General features: G+C 56.8%; 2 protein-coding genes and 1 long non-coding RNA gene across 18 annotated transcripts in view, besides 3 other annotated features; 1 reads left to right on the forward strand and 2 right to left on the reverse strand.

Annotated features, from left to right (window-relative positions):
- Nucleotides 1-607: 607 nt before the first annotated feature.
- Nucleotides 608-11,061, reverse strand: CDH24 (cadherin 24). 4 transcript variants are annotated; one of them, NM_022478.4, is made up of 14 exons: nucleotides 10,944-11,061; nucleotides 9,074-9,398; nucleotides 8,600-8,894; nucleotides 8,288-8,407; nucleotides 8,047-8,214; nucleotides 7,682-7,869; nucleotides 7,037-7,290; nucleotides 6,014-6,150; nucleotides 5,511-5,624; nucleotides 3,363-3,484; nucleotides 3,168-3,279; nucleotides 2,568-2,816; nucleotides 1,002-2,020; nucleotides 608-915 (listed from the first exon to the last, which is right to left on the reverse strand). In NM_022478.4, exons 2-13 carry the CDS (start codon nucleotides 9,272-9,274, stop codon nucleotides 1,521-1,523), a joined length of 2,460 nt encoding a protein of 819 aa, NP_071923.2. In that variant the 5' UTR covers nucleotides 9,275-9,398; nucleotides 10,944-11,061; the 3' UTR covers nucleotides 608-915; nucleotides 1,002-1,520. The 4 variants fall into 4 exon arrangements, with proteins under 4 accessions (NP_071923.2, NP_659422.2, XP_011535391.1 ...); NM_144985.4 differs by lacking the exon at nucleotides 5,511-5,624; XM_011537089.2 differs by lacking the exons at nucleotides 608-915; nucleotides 1,002-2,020; nucleotides 2,568-2,816; nucleotides 3,168-3,279; nucleotides 3,363-3,484 and adding an exon at nucleotides 4,851-4,980.
- Nucleotides 5,711-6,211: an enhancer, noted in NCBI's record as "H3K4me1 hESC enhancer chr14:23521379-23521879 (GRCh37/hg19 assembly coordinates)". NCBI's record gives its function as "activates a minimal SCP1, AML or CMV promoter by ChIP-STARR-seq in primed H9 embryonic stem cells {active_cell/tissue: H9 hESC(primed)}" and the evidence as "EXISTENCE:reporter gene assay evidence [ECO:0000049][PMID:30033119]".
- Nucleotides 10,941-11,060: a silencer, noted in NCBI's record as "silent region_5600". NCBI's record gives its function as "represses an Ori minimal core promoter by ATAC-STARR-seq in GM12878 lymphoblastoid cells {active_cell/tissue: GM12878}" and the evidence as "EXISTENCE:reporter gene assay evidence [ECO:0000049][PMID:35858748]".
- Nucleotides 11,141-11,290: a silencer, noted in NCBI's record as "silent region_5601". NCBI's record gives its function as "represses an Ori minimal core promoter by ATAC-STARR-seq in GM12878 lymphoblastoid cells {active_cell/tissue: GM12878}" and the evidence as "EXISTENCE:reporter gene assay evidence [ECO:0000049][PMID:35858748]".
- LOC105370705 (collagen alpha-2(I) chain-like) lies at nucleotides 11,201-12,190 on the forward strand. The gene is made up of 2 exons (NR_169511.1): nucleotides 11,201-11,583; nucleotides 11,826-12,190. It is a non-coding gene; the product is annotated as a collagen alpha-2(I) chain-like (long non-coding RNA).
- ACIN1 (apoptotic chromatin condensation inducer 1) overlaps nucleotides 12,105-14,505 on the reverse strand; it is a 37,051-nt gene continuing 34,650 nt past the window's right edge. For all 13 annotated transcript variants that reach the window (XM_047431115.1, XM_047431113.1, XM_047431114.1 and 10 more), the window contains one exon: nucleotides 12,105-13,015. In XM_047431115.1, coding sequence (XP_047287071.1) covers nucleotides 12,689-13,015 — 327 coding nt within the window. In that variant the 3' untranslated portion in view covers nucleotides 12,105-12,688. The remainder of the gene's footprint in view (nucleotides 13,016-14,505) is intronic.

Here is a 14,505-nt window from a genome sequence, read left to right on the forward strand (position 1 = left end):
TCCTGCCCATCTTGCCCTCTGACCAATCCCTATATCTTTTTTTTTTTTTTTTTTGAGACAGAGTCTCGCTCTGTCACCCAGGCTGGAGCGCAGTGGCGCGATCTTGGCTCACTGCAACCTCCGCCTCCCAGATTCAAGTGATTCTCCTGCCTCAGCCTCCTGAGTAGCTGGGACTACAGACATGCGCCACCATGCCCTGCTAATTTTTTGTATTTTTAGTAGAGATGGGGTTTCTACCATTGGCCAGGCTGGTCTTGAACTCCTGACCTCAAGTGATCCACCCGCCTCAGCCTCCCAAACTGCTGGATTTACAGACAAGAGCCACCGCGCCTGGCTGAATCCTTATATCTTAATTTTCTTGGACCGCTTGAGACCAACAGAGGACCCAGAAAGTTGGTGGTGAGAGTGGGGCAGAGTCATCATCTCCTTACTCCCTCATGGAATTAACCCAAGTCTTCCCCTATCTAGAAGGAGGTGAAGTGTATTTTCCCCCAAGGAGAAAGGAGAATGAACTGGGAGGCAATAGGCTAGGCCTCGCCTCCCGTCCTTTGGGACGATGAAGCTTTGTATAGAAACCTGAGTGCAAAAACAGAAGCAGGGCTCCAGCTTTACAAAATAAAGTGTTTGTTTATTATGAAATTAGAGATGGAGGCCCCTCCCCTTCCTCCCTCTTTCCCCTTCCCCAGCCGCCTCCCCCTTTCCTTTCCCTACTCCCTCAGGAAGCACACAAGACAATGCCCAGGGCTGGGATGCCCAGGGGAAGCTGACAGCTGGGCAGAGCTCCAGGGAGGCGGCCACACGGGAGGCTGGAGCTCTTGCCCTGGGAGGCAGGCTGGTTCCCTCTCTCAGCTGGAGGCCAGTGGAGCCAGGATGAGGCTGAGGCCATGAGTAATGGATGGAACCATGCAGGCAGGTCTGTAAGGACAGGGGAGCCACGTTAGAGGCAGTGGGGAGTGGGAGCCTTCATCCACCGCCCTGCCCCACAGTCTAGGGGCACTGACCTGGGGCACAACATCCCCTGCAGGAGGGTGGGCAGCAGTGGCTGGAAGTTTCTCTTGATTTTGGGATGGACAACAGAAAAAAACAAAAAGCCAGTCACAGGGACCCAGAGAGAAGGAAGGGAGATGTGGGCAGGAGACAGACACAGAGCATGTGTATGGGCAAGGAAGACGCAGGGAGACTATGTGTGAGCTTCAGAACTGCAGAGACAAAACGCCACGGAGGAAGGAGAGGAATCACAGTGAGAGATCGCAGGGCCAGGGCCAGGGCAGGAAACCCAGGCCCGGACAGAGGAGCGTGTCACAGATAGAGACAAAGATTCCTGGAGAGAGACACACACACCGACTCAGGAGGAGGGAGGTGAGAGCGAGGGTGCCCCGGGGAAGCAAGGAGGGACACAAGGACAGGGAGGAGGCCTGGGGCCCCTGGGCTGCTGCCGCCCGCCTGGACCCCGTGGGGCTCACTCAGAGGGCCTGTGCCCGCTGCCCCCCCCCCGCGGTGGGCCGGGCCAGCCCGGGCGCTCAGGGGGCCGGGGGCTCCTTGGCCCCATACAGCTCGGCCAGGGTGCGGAAGAGCGGACCCCAGTCGTCCAGCGGCTCCGCGGGGCCGGGGGCGCCGCCGGCTTCGCTGCCGGAGCCCAGGGAGCTGAGGGAGCCGCAAGAGGAGCCGCGGCCCTCGTAGCCGTACACCTGCACCGAGTCGTACGGGGGTACGCCGGGGTCCTCGTCCGCCTCGCGGAGCCGCAGCGCCAGGAGCTGCGCCACGTCGGCGGGGCCGGGGGGTCTGGGCTGGCGCGACACCCGGGCCCGGGGCAACACGTCTCGGCGCGCGGGAGGGCCGGGCGCCGGGGGGGCCGCCCCGTCCGGGTTCTGCAAGGCCGTGATGTCGAAGGCCTCGGTGTCCTCCTCGCCGCCGCCCTCGTCGTCGTAGGTGATGATGTTCTCTCGGACGTCCTCCTCCTCCAGTACCATCAGTGCTTCTTGCTTCTGCCGCCGCAGGGCCACGAAGAGCACCACCAGGGCTGCGCGAGAGGCGCGCACACAGGCCCTGAGCCAGCAGGGCCGGGAGCGGGCGGCCTGTCTCCATGTGAAAGGCTGACCCATCAGGTGACAGAAGCCCTGTGCTTAGGGGCTGACATCTAGCAAACCTTGCATTGAATCCTGACTTCAGCCCTTACTCGCTATGTGACCATGGGAAGTTGCTAGACTTCTCTGAAGCCTCAATTTGCCCCTTAGATTACTTATGTGGAGAATAGGGAAAATATATTTACTTCTAAGGGTTGTTGACATAATAAAATGAAATATCACAAGTGACGTGCCCAGCACTATACTTGGCACAGAGTAGGGGCTCAGTAAACCATTGTTATGGCTTGTCATTGTCATTATGGATTGGCAGGTCACGGATAGAGGCCAGAGCTTTTCTCTTGGATGCATCAGGTGGTGGGAAAATCCAGGTATGAGGGTCGTTCAAGCCCTAAGGTGGATTTCCCTGTGTCCAGAGGCCTGGTTCTTCTCCACACCCCTGCAGGCCCAGATCGCACAGCTATGTACCACTGTGGCCTGACTCACCAAGCAGGGCACCCACACAGGTGATGATGGCAAGCAGGGCGCCGGTGCTGAGCCCAGCAGCTGAGAGGTGAGCCTCAGGCCAGCAGGATGCCACAGAGCCGTCAGGCTGGCAGCGGCACACACTAACAGTCACTGTGGCAGTGCTGCTCAGCGCCGGCTGCCCCCAGTCCCACAGTTCTATGGGAACCAAGTAGGGGGCATGGCGGGGTGGAGCAGGGCGGGAGGGCAGCAGCAGGCTGGCGGAGCCATCTGTGGGAGAGGGAAGGTGTTGAGGTATCTTCTGGGACACCTTCCAGGTAGGGTTGGTCCAGCCCATAGAGCCAGCTTCCCATAGAGCCAGCCCCCCATAGAGCCAGCCCATAGGTCCAGCCCATAGAGCCAGCTTCCCATAGAGCCAGCCCATAGGTCCAGCCCATAGAGCCAGCTTCCCATGGGGAAGGTTTACAAAGAGCCAACGAATGAGTACAAGTCCACACCCATCTTCTGTTGGGTAGAAGGCCGAGGCAGGTGGGGCAGGGGTCAGGCAGGCTGGGCTAGGGGTGGAGGAGGAGGAGAAGGGGACAGAGGCAGGTATGGACATGGCTGTAGGAGGCCACCTACCTCGGTTGTCCTGGACAGTAAAGTTGGCATCAGGGCCCAGAGGACCTTGAAAGGAGACATGGCTACTGTTGCCAACTTCATCTCTGTCCAGGGCCCGGATGACCTGAATCAGCTGGGAGGAAGAAGAGAGAGGCCTTGTATGGAGTGGGCTGCTGGAGGCCTGGACGTCCCAACCCCTCTGCCTCAGTTGCTCACCTGGCCAGGAGCTGCAGAGTCACACACAAAAGTATCGTAGGGCTCAGCCAGCTGGGGAGCATTGTCATTCTCATCCAGGGTCTGGATGGCCACTTGCACGCGCGAGGCCTGTGCAGAACTGTCTGAAGGCAGAACACCAAAACATACACGCCACACACACACCACACAGTTTACACGTAACATATGTGGTGCATGGGCATGGATGCCACATGAAGCATATAGCATGCACAAGAAACACATGAAATATGCATGTAATGTACAGGTAGAAAACAATGTTGCAGAATGAATGGAACAATACCAAGTGCATACAATATTCATGTAGTACCCAAGATATGTGCGATACACAATAGACATTCAACAGGAATGCCGCACCCATGATACACATATACAATAACCCACATGCAGGGCACATGCAGCATAAATGAAAGACAGAGGGAAGGTGCATACGAGTTGCATGCAGACAACAGCCATGAATATACAAAACACATTCATACCATATATCCAATGTACACTCAACATTTAAAACAAATGCAATGTACATGAAGCAAATGTTTGATATGCATAGTGAATGTGGTGCCACATCCCCCGACAACACCCAGTGCCCATAGAATGCATTTTCATGCATAGAGGCCATGCACAGCACCAGTGGGGTGGACAGACACATATACACACCACACACACACACACACACACACACACACACACACACACATCCCATCAGAGGTCTGGGAGGCTGTAGTACAGCAGTGAGCATCACTTATCTTGGGTAGAAAGGTGCTGCATGATCTACAGGGTGCAGAGCCCAGGCCAGCCTGGGTACCACAGCCAGACACAGGCCCCATCTTTACCCATCCCTTCATCAGGTGACTCCCTACCACTACCCTACCTTGCTTCTCACTGCCAGTGCCTTCCAAGAGAGAATGCAAAGTGTGTCTCCCTGTCACCTCTCTTAGGCCAGGTCTCCCAATTCCTTTAGTCTTTCCCCTAGGCAGAGGGATAGCTGACTAGCCTTGGGGAAAGGGGCTGAGGATGCAGCATGGGCAGGGGAGGCTGAGTGGATCGCCTGGCTAAAAGGATTGGGATACCCCAGAGACAGGATGGGGAGGAGGTCTACTTCTTCCCTGCGGTAAGGGCCCAGCACTGCTAGGTGATGTCTGGGTGCGGGTAGGAGCAGGATTTGGCAGGAGAATGAGAAGACAGTGACTAGAAACGCACACACACACAAAGCTATGTATATATAAGCAGCCAAAAACATACTGTGTGTACACGGACACACACGGCCATCCACACAGACATCCATGCACTAACAGATAACACGTGCACTGCCAGGTAGTATCTGTGCATATCTACTATGCACACAGTTGCATGTATAGAAACATAAACCTAGACACATAGCATTAAACACATTTGAGAGGCAGTACGGTGGGGATAACAGCTCAGACTCTGCACACTGACTGGATCTCACAGCTCCACCACTTAATCTCTATGTGACCTTGGGAAGTTACTTAACTTCTCTTTGCCTGAGTTTATTGTTTAAAAATGAGGAAATAATCATACTTCCCTCATAAAGTTGTGGTGATGATTAAATGAATGAATCCATTTTGAAGATGAATAGTGCCTGATAAACAATAAGTAATAAATTATCTGTCCACAAATACCCACATACACAAAACACATACAAACAGCTACATGTGCATACCACTGTATATATCAATCACACATATGCATAATTAACATAAATATAATTCTGTACACTCAACAGTAAACACATATATATCCATTACAGATATATACCCACAAATATATATTTGTGTATATCTACATACTTTCCCCACATTTGGAATTATACACATGGCTGAGAACATACCCACATGTGCACATTCATATAGGCCTTCACTGACACATTCAGATATCCACATATACAAGGGCAGTTTTCATATGCAGTATGAAGACAAAAGGGTGGAGGAGCCCCTGAGGCATAAGCAGGGGTATAAGGGACTATTCACAGAAGATCGGGAGGGAGGTCTCCCTGTCTGTATGGGCTAGGGCTGCCCAGAGGCAGCTGAACCCGCTGCTGGCCTGACTGATGGGGGAGACCGCATATGGAGCTGGCACTCCTCCCCTTCCTTATGGTGTCCACTCCCCTACCTTGGGGGATTCCCACAGCGCTTCCAACAGGGCTTCTCTGGGGTGGGGCTGCTGGTGCACTCCACTCAGCAACCAGAAGAGGTACCCAGCCCCTTTCTGGCCCCCAGCTCCAGCCTGAAGCAGAGAGTGGGCAGGATGGGGTCTGTCAGTACACAGGTTGGGGGCTATGTAAGGTCTAGTTTATTTCTGGGTTGGGGCAAGTCAGGTAAGGGAATGACTTGAGGGTCAGGAGAATGCTCAGGCACACCCACTGTGCCCACCCAGCCCAGCCTAGGGGACTAGGAGACCAGGAGGCCCGCCCTGCCTGGTAGCAAGGATCCAGGCTAGGACCCAGATCCAGGCTAGGACTTGGATCCAGGCTAGGACTCAGATCCAGGCTAGGACTCAGTGGCCGCACGCTGGTGAGGGTGCGATGGCAGTTAGCACCCTTCTCCACCCCCACACCCAGGGACAGCTCCTCGGCCAGGAGGCTGCTGCCGCCTTGTGGGCCCTGGAGTCCTCACCGAGCTCTGTAGCCAGCACAGTGAGGTTGTGCCAGGCGCGAGCCTCGCGATCCAGGGGTGCTGCTGTATGGATGGTGCCTTCCTCGGGCTGGATAGAGAAGCAACGCTCCGGATCTGAGTGGGGGAGGATGGAGTATCTGGGGAAGGGAGAGACATGCTGGGGCTGATCTGGGGCGGGACCACAGCTTGTTCCACCCCCTCTCTTCTTTCTTCCCTCTGTTCACCTTGTCAGACCTCATGACTCCTCTGGGTAGAGCCATAATTCAGGTTGGAGTCCCCTTAAAAGGCATATATCCCTGGGGGATCACCACCATTAAACACCTGTTAAGACTCAGGGCCACTGGGTTTCACGGGGGGAGGGGGAGAAGACACAGAATGGAGTAGAAGCGGGATAAACAGACCTTGACTCTCAGACTTCTGGGCCCTGTTCTGAGAACCCAGGGACATGTGTTTCAGCCCTGCTCTGCCTTGGGCTGGCTATGTGACTTAGGGCAAATTGTTTAACCTCTATTTACTCAACTGAAAAGTGGGAATGACACCAGTACCTCCCTCACAGAGCTGTGACAGGGATGCTGGCCGGGGAGGGGGAAAGAGTGGCTGTTCTGCCACTTACCAACTGTGTGACCACTTATGGCTGGCTTCTAAAACAAGTGGTGATGAGAACACCTACTTCATAGGGCTGTTGTGAGAATTCAGTGTCAGCAAGGGGGTAAACTGTGAAGCACTTTGGGAATGATCAATAGAGATCCACTTATCAAATGAGACTATATCCACTTGCACTGCCACTGGGAGGGGCCACCATCATCTACCCAGAGGGGTGGACAGACGGTTGAGGAGTGGTCAGCCAGGCCCTCCGGCTCTCCCCTGGCACCCAGGCCTGCAGACCAGCAAGCCCAGCTGCAGGGAGGGAGGCTTTTGCTGGGATATGAGTGATTTGCTATAAGGTAGGGGGCACATTTACTCATTCTCTGGGTGGGAAGAGCCTGCCATCTGGCTCCCCAGCCCACATCCCAGCTCACCTACCTGATTGGGCTGGCAGGGGAGTCCAGGTCAGCCGCGGAGATCTGGCCTACCAGGGTCCCCGGGGCCTTGTTCTCAGGCACTGTCAGGTGGTAGGCAGCCTGGGTGAAGGCAGGTGGCTCTGGGGCATCTTGCACTGCCACACGCACAGAGGCCACATCCTTGAAGGGCCCTCGCCGCAGATAGGCTGGGTCAATGAGCGTGTTGGTGGCCTCGACACGGAAGGAGTAGGAGCGCTGGCTCTCAAAGTCTAGGGGCTATGGTGAGGGGAGAGGGAGAAAAAGTGAGGCATGTGGAAACCAGGGCAGGTCCCAGGCTCTTGGAAGGTGACAAGTCCCCTCCTCACATGCATGCAGTGCTCAGTCCTCATGTGAGGAGAGGTGGCACTGGAGGGACAGTGGCCTTGGTGGTCAGGATGCACAGCAGATTACTTAGGAACTCTAGGTCTGCCCCTAGCTCCCTCATAGACTTGCTATCACTTCTTCTTTCTAAGCTCCAGGGCCTCATCTGAAGGATGAGGAGGTGACCATGATCTCTAAGCTCCAACAGAGAGATCCTGAGTCTGTTCTAGAAGAACAGTTAAATATGTGCCCTGTGGGTCGGCAGGAGGCAGGTCTAAGAGAAAGCATTAACAGGCAGGAGGCTAACCTTGCGGACAGTGAGGAGCCCGTCTCGACCCTGCAAGTCTGTGCTGATGCTGAAGGCCTCAGACCCCTCCCCATCCAGGATGCTGTATGCCATCAGGGCGTTGTCCCCCAGGTCTGGGTCCTGGGCCCGGAGCCGGCCCACCAGTGTGCCAGGTCCAGCTGTCTCCACCACGGAGAACTGGTATAGGCCTTGGGATGACAGAGGGGAGACACCTTCTCAGAGAGGTCCCCAGCCCTCCTCCCTCCCCACAGCACTTTATTCTCCCAGGATCTGGCTGGGGAGGAGGCGAGGAGGGAAGGTTTCTCCAGACACTGTAGGGGTGGGGTGATCAAAGGATGGCTCAGGTGGCAGCAATGGCCCCTTACTCTGTGGGAACTTGGGGGGGTTGTCGTTGACATCGCTGAGCGTGACAGTCACCGTAGTGCTGCCTGACAGCCCCCCCATGTGGCCGCCCATGTCCTTGGCCTGGATCACCACCAAGAACTCCTCCTGTGTCTCCCGGTCCATGTTGGGGATGGCTGTACGCACCACTCCTAGGGAGAGATGCTGGTCAGAGGGTGTCTGTCCCCTTGGCTGCCCCACCGGGCTCCCAGGCTCCATCCTCACCAGTCTGGGGGTCCACAGAGAAGAAAGGCAGTCCATCCAGAACAGTGTACACCAGCTTGGCACTGTTCCCATAGCTGGGGTCATCAGCATCGTGAGCAGTCACCTGGATCACTGATGTCCCTGTGGGGGATGCCAGCACGCCATTCAGCAGCAGCAGGGAAGGATGGGGAAGAACAACCGATGGGGGGGGATGCAGATACGAGGGAGGCTGAATTGAAGGGGGCAGGTTCTGGGGCAGACAACAAGAAGGGAAGGAGAGGTGAGAGAGCTCCAGAAGACGGGAACTGGGGCATTCAGAGCTGGGGTGCTCACCGACATTGGACATCTCGGGCACGGTGGCATGGTAGGGCCCAAGGGGAAAAATGGGTGGATTGTCGTTGATGTCTTGCACTTTGATGATGAACTCTGATGGGGGCTCCAGGGGCCGGTTGGAGGCTCGGTCCACGGCTTGGGCCAGTAGCACATATTGCGCCTTTTCCTCCCGGTCAAGGCTCTTGGTAACATGAATATTGCCTGTGGCCTCATCAATCACAAATACGGTGCCTGCCCCCTCCCCGGTCAACAGGTACTTGGTGCGGCCCTCTCCCCGGTCAACATCCGAGTGCAGCTGCAGGGGTCACGAAAAGATGGCAGAGGGCTCCAAGTACAGAGACAGGGTTAAAGAGTCTAGGTTTGGGTAGAGCGTTGGGAGTCCTGAGGGACCAAGGTCATTGCAGAAGTGATGAAGTTGCAGGGCAGGGCCTGAGGGCTTGGTGTCAGAGTAGACATGGGAGGGGTCATCCTTACCTTGCCAATGAGAACAGGCTCTGGACCAGCATATTCCTCAATGACAAAGAACTGGTTCCAGACCCAGCTCCTTCGAGTCCGCAGCAGAGCAGGCCCTGGGTGTTCCCGGGACCCTGCCCAGGCCCGGGCTGGGGCTGCCAGACGCCCCATGCAGCCCCAGCCACCCAGCCAGGCCAGCAGGAGCCTCACCAGGCCCCACATGTTTGGACTCCAGCCAGGGCTCTGTTCACTGGCCCTGGGTGCTGAGGCTGGGCCAGGCCACGTGGCCCATGAGCTGGCTGGGGTGGAGGGGCAGATGCGTTGAGGCTACCCCATGGATCCACACCTGCAGGACAAGCAGCTGCTCAGGCTCAAGGAAACCCCTAGCCCTCCTCCCCCGCAAAATTAGATGCTGAAGACCAGACCTCCAAGGAACCAGACACTCCACTGCCCAGAACTCAGACTAAGACAGAGAGCAGAGAGGCTGATCCTTCCTCCACCCAGGCTCTGCATGTATTCACCTCCAGCCCTCCAAGCTGATAAATCTCTGGTCAGTCAACTCTGAGTAGAGAACTGGGGAGGAACACAGGAGAGGGGATGCTGGGAGGGCTTGGAATCCCAAATCTGGTCTCTGTCCTCCCAGGTTGGGCACGTAGCCAGGTATTGGAGGAGGCGGGGCTACCAGAGAAAGGGCTTAAAATTACGGAGTTGGGATTCATGGAGGTGTGGCCTTAAGGTGTCTAGGGTCAGCATGAGATGACAAGGAGTGCAGCCTCAGGCAGGGCTGAGAGTCTGTGAAAGTCCCTCCCCACAAGGGGGAGCCCCACTCTCCAGGCCCTGTCTCCAGCCCACGCTGCCAGTGCAGTCCTTGAAGGGGGACTGGGCTCGTGAGACAGGAGTTGGGAGCCAGAGCTGAAGGAAGAGGATACAGGGTGGGGGACAGGGGGAGGTGACCGGGGAGAGAGGTCCACCCAGAGGCTAGAGACAGATAATGACTGACGGCTAGACTGACTCAGGGACTGTCCGGCAGAGAAATGACTGGATGAGAGACAGAAACAGAACAGTGGCAAGAGACAGAATGAGAGAGACCAGGGCAGCAGCCTGGGTGTCTGAAGGCAGAGAGGAGTCCTAGGGGCCAGGCTTGGAAACGGGTCACCGGGGGCAGTTCCGGGCAGGCAGGGGCAGACCTCAGCTTCGGGGGTGTCAAGCCAGGCCTCGGGAACTTAATTCTGGGAGAAGGAGCAGACAGGAGGGGTGGAGGCAGGGAGGGGCCACGGGAAGGGAGCTAGAGAGGAGACCCTTCCCACTGCTCTCCTTTCTCCTAGGGGCGGGGGGGAGGACCCCTCAGGTAGCTGTGGCTTCTGCCCCTCCTCCCTCAGAGCAGACACACACCTGACAGTCCCTTTGCTCCCGAGGGAAGGGGGAAACCGGAGGAAGGCTGGGGACCAGAGAGAAGGCGGGATGAGGAGGCGAGAAGGAAGGGGATAGAGGAGTGGGAAACAGGATAGCAGGAAGGGGAGAGGAGAGGGAGGGAAAGGAGAGCAAGAAAGAGAAAAGAGAAAGGCAGGAAAGGGGAGAAAGGTAGAGAAAGAAAAAGGCAAAGAGGGAGAGGAGATGGAAAAAGGACAAGAGGGAGAGGGAAGGGTTGGGGAGACAGAGGGAAGGGATAAGGAAGGCAAACAGGCAGAGAAGGAAGGGTGAAGAGAAATCGAGAGAAGAAAGAGGGAGAGAGGTGCGAGGGGAGAAGGGAAAGAGGCAGAGCGCGGGAGAAGGGAGCCGGCAGCGGGCTCCCAGCCACGGAGCGCACCCCTCCGAAGACCCCCGCAGGCTGCGGGCCCCCTCCTACCCCTCCGCGGATTCCCGACCCCTGCTCCGGGGCAGGCGCCCTTACCTGGCACTGCCGAGGGGCCCAGGCCGGCGGGAAGCGCCCCCGCCCGCCCCCGTCGCCGGGTCCCGGGGGCACAGCCCCGAGCCGATTGGAGCGGGCGCCGCGGCTCCGCTGCAGGTCTGAGCGGCCCCGGCGAGAACAAGGGAGCGAGACGGAGGGGGCGGGGGAAGAAGACTCCGCCTGCGGAGGAGCGAGGCGGCTCCGCGCCGCGCGGGAGAGGAGAGCCCAGCCTCCGACCCTCCCCGGCCAGCCGGGCCCGCGCGGCGGGGGCGGGGGCGGAGGCGGCGCCGCGCGTCCGCCCCCTCGGCGCTCCTGGGCTGCGGGGCGCATACAGATGCGGCGCCCCTCCCGGACCGGGCCCGCAGCGCCCGGCAGGGCACTCGGGCGGGAGGACGTCCAGGCCACGGCGCCAGGCCATTTCCGAAGAGCTGGCGGGGCGGGTGCACCCGGGAGCGCGAAGCTGCCAGTCCCCGCCCGCAGCGGAAAACGGGCGAGCGCGCGGTGAGGTGGGGAATTCGGAGCCCACTGCGGAGAGACCCGGCTCCGGGCTCCCGGTTCCCGGCTGGCTTTTGGGACTGGTGTGGATGGAATCCCAGCTGCAAGGCGGCGGCGTTTTGAGAGCCCATGCAAAGCACGGTAGCAGGTCAGCTGGGGGACACTTAAGGACGGCAGAAGGGTCCAGAGAGTCCGAGGCCCGGGCCCAGGGAGCGGGTCGGGAACAGAGGCACGACATCGGCGGGAGGTCGGAGGCGGGCAGTGGAACCCTTCTTGGGAAGCTCGGTTACAGGGGCCAACAGAGCGAGGAGCTGCCGCCCCCTGGTGGTAGTTGTGGGAGGCACCAAGGTGGCAGGCAGGTGACCAAACCCCTAATTTAACCGTGCACAGGACCAGGAACCAGAAGAGGACCCACCCTCCTAGCCCTGCTGGGGTGCCGCCACGGACACAGGTTGCTCCATGCCTTCCCGAATGAGGAAGGTCCACAGCTTTGGGTTGGTCAGGGCCAAGGCAGGGGATAAAAGACGTGGGAAGTTCAATAAGCAGGAAGCAGTCAGCCTAAAGGAACACATGGAATGAGAGCAACTCCTACTCCAGATATCCTCAGATGTCCACGCTCAGATATCCACAGTGGCTTCTTAACCTGCCCAAAGAAAGCCACTCACACAGTTTAAAACTAAGTCAGATTTTTATTTTTTTTTCCATAGACCACATCATTTAATAATAAAAAAAATAAAAATAAAAATTGAACAAAAGGAAAAGGTGGATATAAAGTGGAACCTGTGGGAAAGAGGCAAGGGCTGCAGGACAGAAGAGACTGGGAACTGCAGGGGCCCTGGGACTCAGGAGGAGATGCTGATTCAGCTCATAGGTGACCCAGTCCTGGCCCCGGCTGTTCCCAAGAGAAGGCTGTAAGTACCCAGGGAGGTGGTAAGCAGGATGGAGGAAAAATCAGAGGACTGGGGCACCTGGCTGTTCCCCATCTCTGGCCAACCACCTCCTTGCCTAACCTAGCTCTTGCCTCTCAGACTTAATGGGAAATGAGAGGGAGGGTCGGGCTAAGTCCCAAGAGATAGGTTAAGGGGGTGTGTTTGGGGGGAAAAGGATGGCCACTTTTCCATTTGGTATGTATGTAGGGATAGGTGATGTGAAAGACCCTTGGCTCCAGGGTGGTGGAGACTGTGCCTATCCCTCTGTGGCCATAACCCCCTGGGGCCGAGTGGCTGGTACCTGCAGCTCTAGTGTTTTCCCAGCTAGCGGCGCCCACCCCGGTCCCGCACAGGTGTGCTCCGACTCCGGCTTCTGCTGTGGCGCTTGGTGTCCCTGCGATCCCTTTCCCTGCCTCGTTCTCGGTCCCTTTCCCTATCCCGATCTCGGTCCCCCCTGTCCCGCTCCCTTTCTCTCTCTCTCTCCCTGTCCCTCTCCCGACTGTGCTCCCGACGTTTCTCTCGCTCCAGCTGTCGGTTCCGTTCCCGCTCGGCTTCCTTCTCCCGCTCCTTTTGCTCTTCTTCTTCTTGCTCCTTTCGCCGCTTCTCCCGCTCCTTGGCCCGTTCGGCCCGCTCTGCCTCTTTCTGAACGATCTGTAGCCAGGTAGGAAAGGCAGAGAATAGGCAGCTCAGTCCTGGTCACAGCCTCCATTTGTGCCTGGACCCTGCCTCCTAGCTCAGGGTCAGCTTTTCAGTTAAACAGGAAGGGGTTGGGGGCTCAACAACTGCATCCTGTCTTTCTTAGAGCACCTCTCTCCCTCCTAGTTTCAGCCTTTTTTTTTTTTTTTCTGAGACGGAGTCTCGCTCCGTCGCCCAGGCTGGGAGTGCAGTGGCACGATCTCGGCTCACTGCAAGCTCCACCTCCCGGGTTCACACCATTCTCCTGCCTCAGCCTGCTGAGCAGCTGGGACCACAGGCGCCCGCGACCACGCCCGGCTAATTTTTTTGTATTTTCAGTAGAGACGGGGCTTCACCGTTGTTAGCCAGGATGGTCTTGATCTCCTGACCTCGTGATCCGCCCGCCTCAGGCTCCCAAAGTGCTGGGATTACAGGCGTGAGCCACCGCGCCCCGCCAGTTTTTTTTTTTTTTTTTTTTTGAGACAGTCTCACTCTGTCGCCCAGGCTGGAGTGCAGTGGTGCTATCTTGGCTCACTGTGGTCTCCGACTCGCAGGTTCAAGTGATTCTCCTGCCTCAGCCTCCCTAGTAGCTGGGATTACAGGTGTCTGCCACCATGCCCCACTAAGTTTTGTATTTTTAGTAGAGATGGGGTTTCACCATGTTGGCCAGGATGGTATCAAACTCCTGGCTTAGATGGAGGCTTAGATGATCCGCCCACCTCAGCCTCCCAAAGTGCTGGGATTACAGGCATGAGCCACCATGCCTAGCCACCAAGTTTCAACTTTTACACACATTGACAGGTACTGGCACCATCCATGCCTGGCCCTTGGTATTTCCCTAGCTCCCTACCGTCAGCGTAGATGTGAACAAATCTCTTTTTTGAGTAGCATAAGCCTAAAATTCCCAAAAGGCCCATTACTAAGAAACTAAGTTAAAGATGCAAAAACTCTTAAAAAGCAGGGAAATGAATTTATAAAACACGATTTCTCAGCTAAATACAATCAAGTTCTTTTTTTTTTTTTAATTGTCTGAGACAGAGTTTTGTTCTTGTTGCCCAGGCTGGAGTGCAATGGCACGGTCTCTGCTCACTGCAACCTCCGCCTCCCGGGTTCAAGCAATTCTCCTCCTCAGCCTCCCAAGTAGCTGGGATTACGGGCGCTTGCCACTGCACCCGGCTAATTTTTGTTATTTTTAGTAGAGACAGGGTTTCCATGTTGGCCAGACTGGTCTGCAACTCCTGACCTGAGGTGATCCACCCGACTCGGCCTCCCAAAGTGCTGGCATTAGAGGCGTGAGCCACCACGCACGGCCTAAAATCAAGTTCTAAGAAGCCTGGTCGGCACAGCCAGCTTCCCAGACATCCACAAACTTCAGCTGCTATCTGCGTGTCTATCTTTACCCTCCTGAGTCTGGTTTCTCTATGTTATACCAATTAACTGAAAACTGCCTTTTTGTGATGCTTAGT

The sequence above is a fragment of the Homo sapiens genome, chromosome 14, assembly GCF_000001405.40.
Source record: "Homo sapiens chromosome 14, GRCh38.p14 Primary Assembly".
Lineage (NCBI taxonomy): Eukaryota > Metazoa > Chordata > Mammalia > Primates > Hominidae > Homo > Homo sapiens.